Here is a 17531-nt window from a genome sequence, read left to right on the forward strand (position 1 = left end):
AGGCTGCAATGAGCCAAGATTGCACCACTCCACTCCAGCTTGGGCAACAGAGTGAGACTCCATCTCAAAAAATAAATAAATAAATAGCCAGGTATGGTGGTGCACCCCTGTAATCCCAGCCACTCAGGAGGCTGAGGCAAGAAAATCACTTGAATCAGGAGGCGGAGGTTGCAATGAGGTGAGATCACACCACTGCACTCCGGCCTGGGTGACAGAGTGAGACCCTGTCTCAAAAAAATAAAAATAAAAATAAAAATAAGCTACACTACTGCAGATCCCGGGGAGCCTTAGACATCTGAAAGGGGGGCCCTGGTCTGCTGACATCACATCACAGACAAAAATATCAAAGATACAAAAATAATTTGAATCCGCTGGAAGAAAGCTGTGATATAGATATTATGACTCATTCCAAAATGTTCTCGTGGCAGATTAGTATACCTTAAAAGGATAAATCAATCCTGCTCAAACTCAGAAAACCATTTAGGGCCTTTCAAAACCAAAGGAGGTGCCAAGGCATTTTGAAAGAGACCATTAGTGAGAGACATGGCAAGTTACCTCTGACTTATTAAAAAAGCAAATGATTTTATAAATGAGCCCATTACAAAGTATTCATGAGATATTAGAGCTCTGAGAACTGGCTGAATAGGAGGGAATGGAGGATAATTAGGGTAGTTAGAAATCTGTTATTTTGGGAGTTTGCCAAAGGAAATAATTCCTACATTTGTTCTTGGGCAGATAGTTATGATGGCTTTGCAGAGGGCCTGAGTGACAAATCTGGCACTGAAAGAAAAAAAAAAGTGGTGATGACACCGTCCCTGACTCAGGGACTCACATCTGGGTTGGGGAAGGGAAGCAAATATTTACAGCAGTAAACCACAATACCATGTTCTATGGTAATACTAGAAATATGGGCCAGGTGCAGTGGCTCATGCCTGGAATCTCAGCTCTTTTGGGAGGCCAAGACCAGCCTGGGCAACATAACAAGGCCCCCATCTCTACAAAAGCCTACAAAAGTTAGCTGGGCGTGGTGGTGTTCACCTGCAGTCCCAGTTACTCAGGAGGCTGAGGTGGGAGGATTGCTTGAGCCCAGGAATTGGAGGCTTCAGTGAGCTATGATCGCGCCACTGCACTCCAGCCTGGGTGACAGAGTGACACCCTTTCTCTATTAAAAAAAAAAAAAAAGGCCAGGCGTGGTGGCTCATGCCTGTAACACCTGTAATCCCACCACTTTGGGAGGCCAAGGCAGGCAGATCAAGAGGTCGGGAGATCGAGACCATCCTGGCCAACATGGTGAAACCCTGTCTCCACTAAAAATACAAAAAATTAGCCAGGCATAGTGGTATGCACCTATAATCTCAGCTACTCGAGAGGCTGAGGCACGATAATCGTTTGAACCTGGGAGGAGGAGGTGGCAGTGAGCTGAGATCGTGCCATTGCACTCCAGCGTGGGCAACAAGAGCGAAACATCATCTCGAAAAATAAAGAAGTCCGGGCGTGATGGCTCACACCTGTAATCCCAGCACTTTGGGAGGCCAAGACGGGTGGATCATGAGGTCAGGAGTTCAAGACCAGCCTGGCCTAGATGGTGAAACCCTGTCTCTACTAAAAATACAAATATTAGCTGGGCATGGTGGCACACACCTGTAATCTCAGCTACTCAGAAGTCTGATGCAGGAGAATTGCTAAAACCCGGGAGGGAGAGGTTGCAGTGAGGTGAGATCACGCCACTGCACTCTAGCCTGGGTGACAGAGCAAGACTCCGTCTCGAAAGAAAGAAAGAGAAAGTAAATTCCCCAGGGAAGTACCTCGGCTTATTTCATGAAGAGGTACTGAAGGAAGCAGAGGCATGTAGAGGACTTCCCCACCTCGTGCAGCTATTTGGGCCATGGCATCTGAAATTTATTATTTCAGAGTCACCTCTTTGATGACCTTGGCAGTGGACTGCAGTCATCTGTTTAGGCCTTTCCATGGCCCACGTCAATGCCGGTATTTCTGTCTGTTGCACATTTGATTTCCTTGCTGTTGGCATTTAGAAGGCCCCCTGTTTCCCAGATCACACCACGGGCATGGACTGCAGAGATTGCATCTTGGGAGTCTGTAGAAACGGTCAAGTCCTTGTCCTGTCTTAGGTCCAGAGCTCAGGTTAATGCAGATTTTCCCGGCCTTCTGTGCTGAAGTCCCTGCAGGGAGGCTCCTGGCTGGTTTCCCGTAGGTAGACAGCTACACATCCTTGCCCTTCATTGGCGTCTTTTCATGAAGCTCCTGCCGTCTACAAAACATGTCTCCCTTTTCTTCTTGAATCACATCTCTGTTATTGAAACTCTAGAAGTCGACTGGGCATGGTGGCTATGCCTATAATCCCAGCACTTTGGGATGCCAAGGCAGGCGGATCACCTGAGGTCAGGAGTTCTAGACCAGCCTGGCCAACATGGCGAAACCCCGTCTCTTATACAAATACAAAAATTAGCCAAGCATGGTGGCCACTGTACTCCAGCCTGGGCAACAGAGCAAGACTCCGTCTCAGAAAAAAAAAAGAAAGAAAGAAAGAAAGAAAGTATCATGCTTTTCTGCATTCTGTGAATTGTTTTAGTGAGTTATCGAACTTGAGGGCATGGTGGGAACCTCCAAATTTGCAGCCGGTTGGTGAGAAGTACATGTGGTCTGAGGACACCCAAGCCTGCAGCTGTGTCTAAAGCGAGGGCAGCCTAGTGGGGGCTGGTGGCCTTAACCTGTGGCATTTGAGGTAACATCAGGGAGTTGACATCAGAATTGCATCACACAGGCTGGGCGCGGTGGCTCACGCCTGTAATCCTAGCACTTTGGGAGGCCGAGGCGGGCAGATCACGAGGTCAGGAGATTGAGACCATCCTGGCTAACACAGTGAAACCCCGTCTCTACTAAAAATACAAAAAATTAGCTGGGCATGGTGACGGGCGCCTGTAGTCCCAGCTACTCAGGAGTCTGAGGCAGGAGAATGGCGTGAACCCAGGAGGCGGAGCTTGCAGTGAGCCAAGATCGCACCACCACACTCCAGCCTGGGTGACAGAGCGAGACTCCATCCCAAAAAAAAAAAAAGACAAAAAAACAGAATTGTGTCACACAGGCCAGATGCAGTGGCTCATGCTTATAATCCCAGCAATTTGAAAGGCAAGGTAAGAGGATCGCTTGAGCTTGAGTCTGAGGCCGCAGTGAGCTATGACCACACCACTGCACCCCAGTCTGGGTGACAGCACAAGACCCCAACTCCAAAAATAAAAAAGAAAAATCACAAAGAATTGCATGGCAGAGTGCCTGTCTTTCACAGCTTTAACTGCTGCAGGAACTTTCTTTTTTTTTTTTGAGAGGGGGTGAGGAGACACAATCTCTGCTAGTGATTCTCCTGCCTCAGCCTCCCAAATAGCTGGGATTATAGGCTTGCACCACCACACCTGCCTAATTTTTGTATTTTTAGTAGAGACAGGGTTTCACCACGTTGGCCAGGCTGGTCTCAAACTCCTGCTGGGATCATGGGCGTGAGCCACCACGCCCGGCCACCTTTAGAGTTTTCTTACCACCTGGTTTTCCTCTCTCAATATCTTTCTCTCATTTCCTGCCTTAAAACTCTAGCTTGGCATCTGGGCGCAGTAGCTCGTGCCTGTAATCCCAGCACTTTGGGAGGCCGAGGTGGGTGGATCACTCGAAGTCAGGAGTTCGAGACCAGCCTGGCCAACATGGTGAAACCTTGTCTCTACTATTTTTACAAGTTAGTCGGACATACAGACTGGTGCCGGTAGTCCCAGCTACTTGGGAGGCTGAGGCAGGAGAATTTGTTTGAACCCCGAGGTGAAAGTTGCAGGGAGCCGAGGTTGTGCCACTGCACTCCAGCCTGGGAGACAGAGCAAGACTCTGTCTCCAAAACAAACAAACAAACAAAAAAACCCTGTAGCTTGGGATCAGCCTTCTCTTCTATTGTTTTTCTTTAAAAAATAAAAATTAAAAATAGATGTAGATGCTATGTTGCTGAGGCTGGCCTCAAACTCCTGGCCTCAGGTGATCCTCCTGCCATGACCTCCAAAACTGCAGGGATTGTAGGTGTGAGCACTGCACCCAGCCTTATGTTTTTTTCTACATAAAAAACAGCACAGGATTATCTTCCAGAGCTAATAAATATGTTCAAATAACCACAACCCGATTAAGGAAAAATATCACTGGGCAGCAAATAATCAATCCAGACCAATATGATCACAATTGCTGTGAAGGTGAGAAAAGTTCATTTTTATTATGTTTCCCCAAGAGACGCACTCTATTGTTCTCTTGAAAACACACAGCTCATGTCCTCCTTTAGCACACACATCCTCTTTAAAGTAACATACAAACATGCCAAAACAAGGTAAAAAATTACATCTGTATTCTCACATTTCAGACATATATGAAATATCAAATAAAAATTTATTTTTACAAGAATTTAAGGGAACTACTACATAGCTATAAATGTAATATATATGTTAACTAAGTATCATAGATAAAAACCATGCTCCCTTCAGCAGCATGTGTAATAATAGATACAAAGATTGAAAGGTAAAAGATTTAGGATGAAAAGAATCCTCTCTTAAAAAGGAAAACAAAATTATATGTATGTGTATATAACAGTTATAACACCCATCACACAGCTTTATAGAAACAGCATCTATTCAAAAATACCAGTATTTCCAAAATATTTAAAATAATATTTAAAGTAGTAATAATATTTAAATAAATAAATATATTTAATAAATAAATAAATAAAATAATATTTAAATAATTCTATACCCATGTTTTTCAAAATAAACCAATAAAATAGATAGTATATATTAGACATGTTAGTATATATATCTGAGACATGTTAAAAATCACAACTGAATTCTCACAATTCAGTCACAAACCTAAATAGCAAATAAAAATTTCAATCACCAGAATTATGTTTTTTTCTGGTAGGGAACTACCAATAGCTATAAATAGAAGAGATTATTATGGAAGTATCATAGATAAAAAGAGTGCTCGCTTCAGGAGCACATATAATAATACAGGAACAAATTTAAAGATAATAAAATATTTAGGATAAAAAGAATTGTCTCTTAAAAATGAAAAGAAAATTATCTTTATGTATATATAACAACTATAACTCTCATCAAAAAACTACAGGAACAGCATGTTTTCAAAGGTACAACAATTTCCAAACTATTTGAAATAAATCTATGAATAATTCAATGGCCAACATTTTCCAAACAAACCAATAAAATGCAGAGTGTGCATGAAGCTATCTGTTACAATCTGTGGCACTGATATTTCACAAAAGAATTCTGTGCCAATCTGAGCCCCTGCATTGTGCCTTCAAATGCTCCTGGACTGTGGCAACCAAGTCCGTAAGAAATAGGACCTCCAGGTTCCGCCCCAGGGAGGTTGGAATTCAGCAATATAAAAAGGGTGGTGGTGCCGCAGGAAAGGGTGGAACTGGAAACACTCCTGGTTTCTTACTTTTCTCCAAGGACTCCTAGAAGGACCCCACCCCCCTCCCCCTGCTCCTAGGTAGGACAACATGATCACTGTATTCAGCTCCATCAAGAATGGTCCAGGTTCTTCTAGATGATCTGCACAAATGGTTCCTCTCCTTCTTCCTGGTGTCTGCCATTAGCATTGGAATAAAGTTCCTGCTGAAAATCCACATCTCCCCTGGGTCCGGTGTTCTGGAAGTGAGAGAGACGATGTCACACTTCAAGGAGGCAGCTCTCTAGACAGGAAGGTTATTCACGTCCCATGTGAAGTCTAGAGTTCAGAGCAATTGAGAAATGCAATTGTATCTCCTGCCTTTCATTCTATACCCTGCTTCTGAACCATCGTGTTCAACTGTGAAACTCACACTTTGGTGACCATGACTCCAAAACTCACTTAATACACCCAAGGTCAGCCCCAGTGATGTGCTTCATAGCAAGGACTTTGGGTGGGTTTGCCTAGGGAGTAGGGCACCCTCAGAGAATGTGGCTTTGGACTTCATCACAGCTGGGGCCTTTTGTGTCACTTAAGATCTAAACTTGTAACCATGCTAGATGTGTTTTTAATGTGACAACATCACGAACCACGAGTCCAGAAGCCTGATCCTTAATCCTACCTCCTCATGATGAAGTCTCATGCTCTGTGCTCACCGTGGTTAGCTGCACAAGATGTAAACCAAAGCTTCACTGAACCCTCGACCCAAATCGGTAACTCAAGTGCGTCAATCATAATGAACCTCCCCAAACTCAGTATTTATGATTATTTTTGAGGCAGGGTCTCACTCTGTCGCCCAGACTGGAGTGCAGTGGCAGGATCAGGGCTCCGTGCAGCCCCGACCTTCCAGGCTCCAGTGATCCTCCCGCCTCAGCCTCCTGAGTAGTTGGGAGTAGAGATGCGTCCCACATCACCTGGCTAATTTTTGTATTTTTGTGGAGAGGGGATCTCGCCACGTTGCCCAGGCTTGAAGCCAGATCAAGCAATTGGGTTCCTCGGATTTCCAAAATAGACCCCAATATTCTGCCTTTACCCCGGAGGATGCAGAGGTACCTTCTCTCAGGCCGATGACCTCAGGCCTCCACGGTCCCTGGAGCTCTAGGAAAGGCGAGCGCGATCTCGCGCCCACACCCAGTGCTCTGGGTCATAAGCCTGGATCTGGAAAAACAAACGCCCTTTGAGAAGATGGGGACTCGCCAGGATACCCCTCTCTCCCCTCATCCAGCCTCCAGCCCACCCGATTCCTCCCCACATCCTCCACCTCCCCAGGCCCCACTCACCTCCTCCAACTCCTCCGGGGAAACCCAAGCCCTGCAGCTCATGGAACAGAAGAACTGGAACCGAAGTTTCTGGAACAGGACTATCTGAGAGCGGTTCTTCCTGGCCCTCGGGTTCATGCAACGGCATAACTGGAACCGACGCTTACGGAGCAAGGGTATGCGAGAGCGGGTCTTCCCATACAGGAAGTAGAAGATGTTTTGTTTGGGGTCCTCGTCGTCCTCCTCCATGTCATTGGCCAGGTAGCTGAGGACAGAAATCAGGTTGCTGCTCAGGGGCACCACCAAGAGAGGCCTCCGGCTGAGGTCAGCTTCCCAGAGAGGAAGGTAAGGGACCGTCCCTAGCTCAGGACTGGCACCCACCCTGCAGAGAGCCACGCCTTCCTCAGGAGGGCTCTGCTGGACAGAGACCTGATCAAGGGTGTCTCCCACTCCTTCAGGATGGAGACAAAAACCCAACTGGTGGCCGAGAGTGGTGGCTTACGCCTGGAATCCCAGCACATTGGGAGGCCAAAGCAGGAGGATCACTTGAGGCCAGGAGTTTGAGACGGGCCTGGGCAACATAGCAAGACCCTCATCTCTATTAAAAATATAAGAAATATGCCAGACGCGGTGGCTCATGCCTGTAATCCCAGCACTTTAGAAGACTGAAGCAGGTGGATTGCTTGAGACCAGGAGTTGGAGACCAGCCTGGTCAACACGGAGAAACCCCATCTCTACTAAAAATACAAAAATCAGCCTGGTGCGGTGGCACACCCATTAGTCCTAGCTACTCAAGAGGCTGAAGCATAAGAATTGTGTGAACCCAGGAGGCGGAGGTTGCAGTGAGTCGAGATTGGGCCACTCCATTCCAGCCTGAGAGGCAGAGCAAGACTCTGTCTCAATAAACAAACAAACAAACAAACAAACTGTCCAGGTGTGGTGGCACAGCCCTGTAGTCGGAGCTAATAAAGAAGCTGAGGTGGGAGGATCGCTTGAGCCCAGGATATGGAGGCTGCGGTGAGCTATGATCTCACCACTGCACTCCAGCTTGGGGGACAGGGCAAGTCTGTCTCAAAAAAATAAAAGAAATTGAATACATTGATATTTTGCCAGGACCCTGCCTTCTACAGGCATCTAGTCTAATGGGACTGGGAGTAATCAAGGCAGATGACCTAATCCCAGTGTCCAGGATGTAACTAGAGAGCTACGGGCATGCAGAAGTTGGAAGATGAGGGAAGGCATCACAGAGGCTGTGGGGTGAACTGACTTCAAGGAATGGGTCCTTCCCTTCAGAGCCACATGTGTGCGGGACACCCAGACAAAAACACAAACACAAAGTCGAGTGGAGGGCATTTGGAAGGAGCAGTGAAGCCAAGCCAGGAAATACCAAGATGGCGAGCCAGTGTGGTTGTAGAGATTGTAGAGAGGGTAGAATTGGCACTGTGGACCCTGGCCTCGATAGAGAAAGGCATCAGCTAAGGAAGTTGTTCAGGTGGGCAGTGAGGTTGTCGTGCTTTGGAAAGATGTTCAGGCTGCACTAGGAAGCCCCCTGGCTTGGGGAGAGACTCCAGGAAACCCCAGCAGGGAGCATTTGACAGTGGATTCGAGTGATGCGAGGGGGACCTGAACTGTGGCCTCTGTCATGGGAACCCAGAGGAGGTCGATGGCGTTTGTGGTTGATGTGGGAAGGAGAGAGAGAGAAGAACCAGAAACGTCTGCTTGCTGGAGGAAGCGGCATGTCCGCTCCTCCACTCCTTTTCTTTTCCCCTTAGGAGCGGTTTATGGTTCCTTTTGTTTTATTCTTTTATTTGTACACTGGCATTGGAGTTTGTTTTTTTGGCTTTTTTTTTTTTTTTTGAGAAAAAGTCTTACTCTGTCACCCAGGCTGGAGTGCAGTGGCTCGACCTTAGCTTACTGCAACCTCCACCTCCTGGGTTCAAAGGGTTCTCTTGCCTCAGCCTCCCGAGTAGCTGGGATTACAGGTGCACACCACAACGCCCAGCTAATTTTTCTAGTTTTAGTAGAGACGGGGTTTGACCATGTTGGCCAGGCTGGTCTCGAACTGCTGACCTCAGGTGATCCGCCTGCCTCGGCCTCCCAAAGTGCTGGGATTACAGGCGTATGCCACTGTGCCCAGCCTGAGTTTCTTTTTAGAAACAACAGTCTATGATAGTATAATCCTCTCTTTTTTGTACACAGAGTAAAGAGGACAAATAGGTAAAAGAATAAATGAAAGGCTGGAATCCCACTTCCCCCGCTGTCCCAGGGCATTGGATATCGATGGATAGGAGGCAGCAAACCACTCACAGAGCCAGGAAGAAATGAATGCATTGGTATTGCCAGGAGGGGAGGCCGGCCCGGCTGAAATACACTATGACCATAGCCAGGAGATACTGATGGAGAGAAAGGAACACAGAGAGGGAGAGGTCACATCTTGGAAGAGGAAGATTGTGGAGAGGGGGAATGAGGGTCTGGGGAGGGGCTGCCCATCAGAGAAGGGACCTCAGTGTTGGGGTGACTGTACTCATTTGGAAATTGCGGGATGGAGGGGTATTCGAAGGTCGGATGCAAATCCGAGAAGCCAGAGGAAGGGTTTTGGGTGATGCTCCCAGGATGGTGGGCTCCGATGGGATCTTTGGAGGGGGTGTGTCTAGGTCGGCTGGTGTCAGGAGGGTCTTTTGTGTGCCAGGCAGAGAACTGTCCGAAGAGCTGAGAGTAGAGGGGCCAGAAGCTTCAGGGCTGTGGCCAGACTGTGGCCCAGAGCTCAGATCCCAAAGGACCCATAGGAGAGGCAGGGGCCACTCATTCACTCTGCAAGAGACCAGCAGAATCCTGAGGGAGATGCTGACAAATCATAAAAAGACCAAGAATAGCTCGGAGTGGCGGCCCAAGCCTGTGATCCCATTACTTTGAGAGGTGGAGACAGGAGGATCACGTGAGCCCAACAGTTTGAGAACAACCTGGGCAACTAGTGAGACCCTGTTTCTACGAAGATTTCAAAAATTAGTTGAGCATGGTGGCATGTGCCTAGTCCCAGCTCCTCAGGAGGCTGAGGAAAGAAGATTGCTTGAGCCCAGGAATTAGAGGGTGCAATGAGCTATGATCATGCCACTGCAGTCCATCCTGGGGAAAAGAGCTAGACTCTGTCTCAGAAAAAAAAATTTGTGGGTGCCAAGACTCAAGACCATGGGAGCTGGTCGGGCACAGTGGCTGACGTCTATAATCTCAGCATTCTGGGATGCCAAGGCGGGTGGATCGTCTGAGGTCAGGTGCTCAGGACCAACCTGGCCAGCATGGCAAAACCCTGTTTCTACTAAAAACACAAAAATTAGCCAGGCGTGGTTGTTCATGTCTGTAATCCCAGCTGCTTGGAGGCTGAGGCAGGAGAATCACTTGAACCCGGGAGGCATCGGCTGCAGTGAGTCAAGATCGAGACACTGCCCTCCAGCCTGGGCAACAGAGCAAGACTCTGTCTCAAAAAAAAAAAAAAAAAAAAAAAAAGACTGTAGGAGCATCTGGTGGGAGGTAGTGGAGGGAGAACTGTGGGTTTGGAAGCTGCGCCCTCCCCCCAGCCATGCGTTGGAACAGGAACAGTTACATGGAGAACAACCTTACCTTGTCCGACACCCTCAGACCTTTGTCCCAGGCCAGGAATCTTTTAATGACAGGATCCTCTGTGATTAGAGATCAGATGTCAGTGTGAGAAGCAGGACAGGGTTTCCATGGGAGCAGCAGGGCAGAAAGGAGAAGTGTGCCTCCCGGGGGGAAGTCTCAGGATTGTGGCCGCGGGTGAGGTGGATGGGAGAGGGGAGAATGACTTTCACTGGGCAAGGGAGAGAGGCTCCTGCTCTGAGACTCCCCTGAGAAGAGGCCGAAGGAGGCCCTGGGTGTGAGAATCTACAGGATGTAGAGCTGGGAATCAGCCAGGACCCCCTCCAGCAGACACGGAGGGACCACTGCAGAGTCATAAAGGAATTCCCATCATTTCCTCATGAGACAGTCACATCAGGGTGTGACCATGGCCTTGGTATCCCCCACTATGGATGGAAACACTTAGGTTTAGAAAAGTCAGTAAGAAACATTAAGTTTCAGAGGGCACAGCTGAAACCACTTTTTTGATTTTTGATTTTGTTTTTCTTTATTTGATTTTTATTTTTATTTATTTATTAATTTATTTTGAGACAGAGTCTTGCTCTGTGGGCCAGGCTGGAATGCAGTGGCCTGATATTGGCTCACTGCAACCTCTGCCCCCCGGGTTTAAGCAATTCTCCTGTCTCAGCCTCCCGAGTAGCTGGGATTACATGCATGAGCTACTGTGCCCAGCCTTGGTTTTTCTTTTGAGATAGGGTTTTGCTCTGTCACCCGGGCTGGAGTGCAGTGATGTAGTCATAGCTCACTGCAGCCTCAAAGTCCTGAGTTCAAGCAATCCTCTTGCCTCAGCCTCCCAACGTGCTGGGATCTCAGGCGGGAGCCACCGCGCCTGGCCCGAAACTAAGCTTTCTTATCCCAAGCGCCGAACTTTATCAAGTCGACCCAATCCTTTATCATCTCCTAAGTGTCCCTCATGAGTGATCACTTCACAGTCCTCCCACATGGAGAGCTCACCCACTGGGGCATATTTTTCCCATTGGAAAAGTGTGGTTATTGGAAGTTTCCTCTTTTTAGAAAGAACAGGATTGGAGGTGCTCTCTGGGGTGTCCTCCTACCAAGCAGCCTGTTGAAGGCCTCGTGGTGCTCAGGGAGCACGAGCGACACTCGCCGTCGCTTCAGCTTCATCTTGAGGCCACACAGCATCTCCGCCACCCAGATCTCCTCAGGCTCAGGGGCGAGCACCTTCCGTGGCTCCTCCTCCAACGACTCCTCAGATTTGTCCCACCACTCCATCTTCCTTTTCCAGCAAAAGGACCTATGCGGGGGGCTGGGATCTACCCCAGGGGCTGAGTAAAGAAACCAGGCCACGGTGTAATGCTTCTGCAGTTGATCACACTAGAGCCCGACCCAAAACCCCAAATCACTCTCCATCCTCCCCAGCCTCCCAGACTGCTGGCTTCTCCAAGCCATCTTTCCTTCTGTCTGTCTCCTCTGCTGAGCTCCATGTGCCGCTCCTTCTCCTCCCCATTCTCCCGTTTCTCTGTCCTCAGAACACTTCCTCATATCCTTCCCTGGTCCCTGGCTTTCTGAGTCCCTTCTTTTTTTTTTTGTTGTTGTTGTTGTTGTTGAGAAACAGTCTTGCTTTGTGGCCTAGGCTGGAGTGTAGTGGTGCGATCTCGGCTCACTGCAACCTCCGCCTCCTGGGTTCCAGTGATTCTCCTGCCTAAGCCTCCCAAGTAGCTGGGATTACAGGTGCCCACCAGAACACCCAGCTCATTTTTGTCCTTCAAGAAGAGACAGGGTTTCACCATGTTGGCCAGGCTGGTCTCCAACTCCTGGCCTCAAGTGATCTGCCTGCCTGGCCTCCCAAAGTGCTGGGATTACAGGTGTGAGCCAGTGCACCCTGCCTCAGTACCTCCATTCTTCCCACACACCCTCCTCACGTGCTCCTTCCTGACTTCTGGGCCCTTCCTTCCTTCTTTTTTTTTTTTTTTTTTTTTTTTGAGACAGCGTCTCACTCTCTTACCCAGAATGGAATGCAGTGGCGCTATCTTGGCTCAAAGCAACCTCTTCCACCTGGGTTCAAGCGATTATCCTGTCTCAGCCTCCCGAGTAGCTGGGATAACAGGCATGCCTGGCTAATTTTTGTATTGTTAATATAAATGAGGTTTCGCTATATTGGTCTGGTTGGTCTTGAACAACTGACCTCAAGTGATCCACCCATCTCAGCCTCCCAAAGTAATGGGATTACAGGCATGAGCTACCACACCCGGCCTTCGTTTTTCTTTTGACTCAGGGTTTTGCTCTGTCACCCAGGCTGGAGTGCAGTGGTGCAGTCATAGCTCACTGCAGCCTCAAAGTCCTGAGTTCAAGCAATCCTCTTGCCTCAGCCTCCCAACGTGCTAGGATCTCAGGCATGAGCCACTGCACCTGGCCCGAAACCAAGCTTTCTCATGCCAAGCGCCAACCTTTATCAAGTCTAGCCTAGTCCTCTATCGTCTCCTAAGTGTCCCTCATGAGTGATCACTTCTGAGTCCTCCTGCATGGAGAGCTCACCCACTGGGGGCGTATCTTTCCCATTGGAAAAGTGTGGTTATTGGAAGTTTCCTCTTTTTAGAAAGAACAGGATTGGAGGTGCTCTCTGGGGTGTCCTCCTACCAAGCTGACTGTTGAAGTCCTTGTGGTGCTCAGGGAGGATGGGTGACACTCGCTGTTGCTTCAGCTTCATCTTGAGCCCACACAGCGTCTCCACTACCCAGGTCTCCTCAGGCTCAGGGGCGAGCTCCTACATGGGGGGCTGGGATCTACCCCAGGGGCTGAGTAAAGAAACCAGGCCACCGTGTAATGCTTCTGCATCTGATCACCTTAGACCCCGACCCAAAACCCCAAACCACTCTCCATCCTCCCCAGACTCGCAGACTGCTGGCTTCTCCAAGCCATCTTTCTGACTTTCTCCTCTGCTCAACCCCATGTGCCACTCCTTCCCCTCCCCATTCTTCTCTCTCTCTGTTCTCGGAACACTGCTTCATGTCCTTCCCTGGTCCCTGGCTCTCTGAGTCCCTCCTTTTTTGTTTTGTTTTGTTTTGACACAGAATCTTGCTTTGTCACCCAGGCTGGAGTGTAGTGGTGCAATCTCAGCTCACTGCAACATCCATCTCCTGGATTCCATTTATTCTTCTGCCTCAGCCTCTCAGGTAGCTGGGATTACAGGTGCCTGCCATAATGCCCAGCTCAATTTTGTACTTTTAGTAGAGACAGGGTTTCACCATGTTGGCCAGGCTGGTCTCAAACTCCTGGCCTCAAGTGATCCGCCTGCCTTGGCCTCCCAAAGTTCTGGGATTACAGGTGTGAGCCACTGCACCCAGCCTGAATTTCTCCATTCTTCCCACACACCCTCCTCAGGTTCTCCTTCCTGACCGCTGACCCTTCTTTTCTTTTTTCTTTTTTTTTTTTTTTTTGGAGTGCAGTAGCGTGATCTCAGCTCACTGCAACCTCTTCCTCCCAGTCTCAAGTGATTCTCCTGTCTCAGCCTCCTGAGTAGCTGGGATTATAGGTGTGCACCACTACCACTTGGCTAATTTTTATACTTTTAGTAGAGATGGGGTTTCACCATATTGGCCAGGCTGGCCTTGAACTCCTGACCTCAGGTGATCCGCCCGCCTCGGCCTCCCAAAGTGCTGGGGTTACAGGCGTGAGCCACCACACCCGGCCCCCTTCCTTCGTCTTAGTCAATCCTATCCCACCTCTTCTTCCACCAGTCCCCTCATCTGATGGTCCCAACACTTCATCATCCACCACCTCCTGGAGGGGGTACCCCGAGGTGCTCCGCTGGGGACTCTGCTCATTCTGGGGGTGCGGTTGACGGCTGGTCGTGATCTTTCCCGTAATCTGTCCCCTCTTACGGAACCTAGTCTCCGTTCTGTCCATGGCCTTCTTCTGGACACTGCTAGGATCCAGAAGAGTATGTTATCAATTCTCAAGCCTAGGAGCAGTCAGGAGTGGAGAACAGCTCTGAGAAGATACTATTGTCCAACTGATCTCCAGGCACCACGGAGTCCGGTCCCTCCAATCAGGAAGGTCGGAATCTCTGATGTCATCGTTCATGCCAACCTGGCAACCAGTTTGAAAAAAAAACACGTGTAACTGCCAGGCTGATCTCTTGTACTGGAGATCCTGGGTGAATGGTATCTCCTGCCACTGTCCCAACCTCAGACCATTGTCCAAAAGCATCTTCAGGGACTCCACATCCCTCTGTTCCCTGTCCCAGCAGAGGCTGTGTCCTCTCCACTCAAAGCCTGAAGCATATTGGGGTCTCTTCGTCTCTGTACATGCCCATTTCAGTGTCCAGTCTGGTGGGAGAGGGAACAGAGTGGGAAAGAAAACTAGGGTAAGCAGAAACGATGAAACCTTATAAGAGTGAGATTATCATGTACAAGAGTGAGATTATCATGTACAAGAGATCCCAAGAATACTGACTTGATGAAAAAGTCACATCAGAGCACTCAGTTTGGCAGAGCTTTTCTGCCGAATGTTTACTCACATTCACTCTCTGAGATTCTATACTGGGGGTACACACGTCCTCTGCCCTAAGGCAATTTTGAGTCCAAGAGACATTTTGAGGCCTAAAAATCATAGGAAACTGCCCCTGAGCTCACACATATTTCCAATGGTGTCCCCAATTTCAGGGAATCCATGGATTACCTAAGCCAGCCTCTCCAGTTCGGCTAAGAAACTCTAGTCTATATATCAAGTTTTGTATCATATGTATTGCTCTGAACTCAGAAATTTCCCTTCCATTTATGGATTCTATGAATAAAATATCACATGTACAAAAAGACTAAGTCGAAAAATTTCAGCTGTGCACAGTGGCTCATGCTTGTAATCCCAGCACTTTGGGTGGCCAAGGGAGGAAGATTGCCTGAGGCCAGCAGTTCAAGACCAGTATAGGCAACATAGCAAGAGCCCATCTCTAAAAAAACAAAACCAAACCAAATTAGCCAGGTGTGGTGGCTGGCACCTGTGTTCCAACTACTTGGGAGACTCATGTGACAGGAAGATCACTTGAGCCCAGGAGTTAGAAGCTGCAGTGAGCCATGATCTTGCCACTGCACTCCAGTCTGGGCAACACAGCAAGATATTGTGTCAAAAAAATTTTTTTTGATAAAAAATAAAAGAGTTACATGACATTCAGAGACCATCCAAAAAACCTGTGGGTTCCCAGCTTGGCTCAGTGGCTCATGCCTGTAATCCCAGCACTTTGGGAGGCCAAAGTGGGTGGATCACTTGAGGTCAGGAGTTTGAGACCAGCCTGGACAACATGGTGAAACCCCATCTCTACTAAAAATACAAAAAATTAGCCAGGCATGGTGGTGGATGCCTGTAATCGCAGCTACTCAGGAGAGGGCACTGGAGAATCACTTGAACTCATGGTGCGCAGGTTGCAGGGAGCCAAGATCGCACCATTGTGCTCCAGCCTGGGCAACAAGAGCAAAACTCCATCTCAAAAAAAATAAAGAACCTGCGAATGAGTTCCCACACGTTTTCCTAATGGGCTGCTGCTTTCCTAGGAGTCTCTCGCTCACAGAAAAGGCACACACTGAAAGAGGAAGCAGATCCCATTGCTGTGGAAGTCCCATTGTTAGGAAGCTCTGCTTTTCTGGAGTTCAAATTCGCATTCATGACGCTTTAAACCGTCAGAGCTGGGTGGGTCCTCCTACAACAAAATCGTTCGCTCTCTCTCTCCTAGTTAACAGGCTTTCAAATATTAGAAGATCAATGTTCTGACCCCATTAAAATTTCTCTTTTGTGGAATGAAAAGCTCTGATTTAACCCATCTTCAAGCCTGGTTTGCATATTCCTCTCTCTTCCGGCCACCTTGTCTAGACACACTACACTGAGGCCATGCCCATCGTAAATGATGTTGATATGTTGTCAAAAAATTGGCAAACCAGGCGCGGTGGCTCGTGCCTGTAATCCTACCACTTTAAGAAGCAGAGGCAGACAGATCACCAGAGGTCAGAAGTTCGAGACCAGCCTGTCCAACATGTTTAAATCCGTCTCTACTAAAAATACAGAAAAAATGAGCTGGGCGTGGGGGTGCACATCTGTAATCCCAGCTACTTGGGAGGCCGAGGCAGGAGAATCGCTTGAACCTGGAAGGCAGAGGTTGCAGTGAGCCGAGATTGCATCACTGCACTCCAGCCTGGGTGACAGAGCGAGACACCATCGCAAAAAAAAAAAAAAAAAAAAAAAAAAAAAAAAAAAAAAAAAAAAAATGGCTAAATAGCCCAGGTTTGGTCTGATATGTTCAGAAAAAAGCAAAACAGTCACCTCTCACCTTTTCTTTTCCCACAGTGATGCAGTTGAATACAACAATGGCTGTAGGTATGCTGCAGAAATATCATTCAAGTGAAACAGAAGGGCTTTCCTGGCCAGACACAGTGGTCACTCCTGCAATCCCAACACTTTGGTTGGCTAAGGTGGGAGGATTTCTTGCGGCCAGGGGTTCAAGGCTGCAGTGAGCTGTGATCCACCACTGCATTCCAGGCTGGGCATCAGAGTGAGGCCTCTCTCTAAAAAAAAAACCACTCCCCAAAAAAAGGGATTTGCAAATACCAGCCTTTCAGCATGAGGATCACATGGAGGAACATTAAGATACAGATGCTGCGACCCAGCCCTATTGATTGTAATTCAAAAACTAAGGTGGGGCCTGATTTAGCTCCATCATTGGAATCCATTCCGATTTGAAACTCTCTGGGTTGGACAGTTCAAGAGAGATCCTAAAGAAAGCAAAATCACTGTGGACTGAAATGAGCAGACAAGGTTTTCTGAGCATGGTGAAATATGATCTGGGCCTCGCTTGGGAGGGCTGTGGCCAGGCCTTGAGTCCTTGGCTCAGTGGGACCTTCTGAAACAGCCTCCAAGCTGCGCCCCTGCTTCCTTTGCTTTTGGATGACCCCCTCCAGCAGCTTTGGTGCTGATGGGAATAAGTCGACCTGCAGCGGAAGTTCAGCCCAAGTCTCAGCCCAGCAGCCTCCCCAAACCTGGCCAGGGTCTGGTCATGCTGCCGTCTCTGCGGTTCTCTGTGGAGTTGTGGTTTCTGTACCTTGAAGAGAACTTCCCCTTCTGGGACCCAGAAACCCAGTGAACCCTCAGGAAAAAAGGGAATGAAATTACTGA

At 48.4% G+C, this 17531-nt stretch overlaps 1 pseudogene across 1 annotated transcript, besides 1 other annotated feature; it reads right to left on the reverse strand.

Annotated features, from left to right (window-relative positions):
* Positions 1-4221: 4221 nt before the first annotated feature.
* SPDYE7P (speedy/RINGO cell cycle regulator family member E7, pseudogene) lies at positions 4222-15992 on the reverse strand (annotated as a pseudogene). The gene is made up of 9 exons (NR_168484.1): positions 15871-15992; positions 14096-14701; positions 13011-13168; positions 11468-11698; positions 10377-10435; positions 9069-9154; positions 6783-7026; positions 6556-6660; positions 4222-5702 (listed from the first exon to the last, which is right to left on the reverse strand). The product of NR_168484.1 is annotated as a speedy/RINGO cell cycle regulator family member E7, pseudogene (transcript).
* Positions 11828-12015: a silencer, noted in NCBI's record as "fragment chr7:72339695-72339882 (GRCh37/hg19 assembly coordinates)". NCBI's record gives its function as "represses an EF-1alpha promoter that drives an FKBP-Casp9 reporter gene in an ReSE screen in K562 erythroleukemia cells {active_cell/tissue: K562}" and the evidence as "EXISTENCE:reporter gene assay evidence [ECO:0000049][PMID:32094911]".
* Positions 15993-17531: the final 1539 nt, after the last annotated feature.

This window comes from Homo sapiens, chromosome 7, assembly GCF_000001405.40.
Source record: "Homo sapiens chromosome 7, GRCh38.p14 Primary Assembly".
Taxonomy (NCBI): Eukaryota; Metazoa; Chordata; class Mammalia; order Primates; family Hominidae; genus Homo; species Homo sapiens.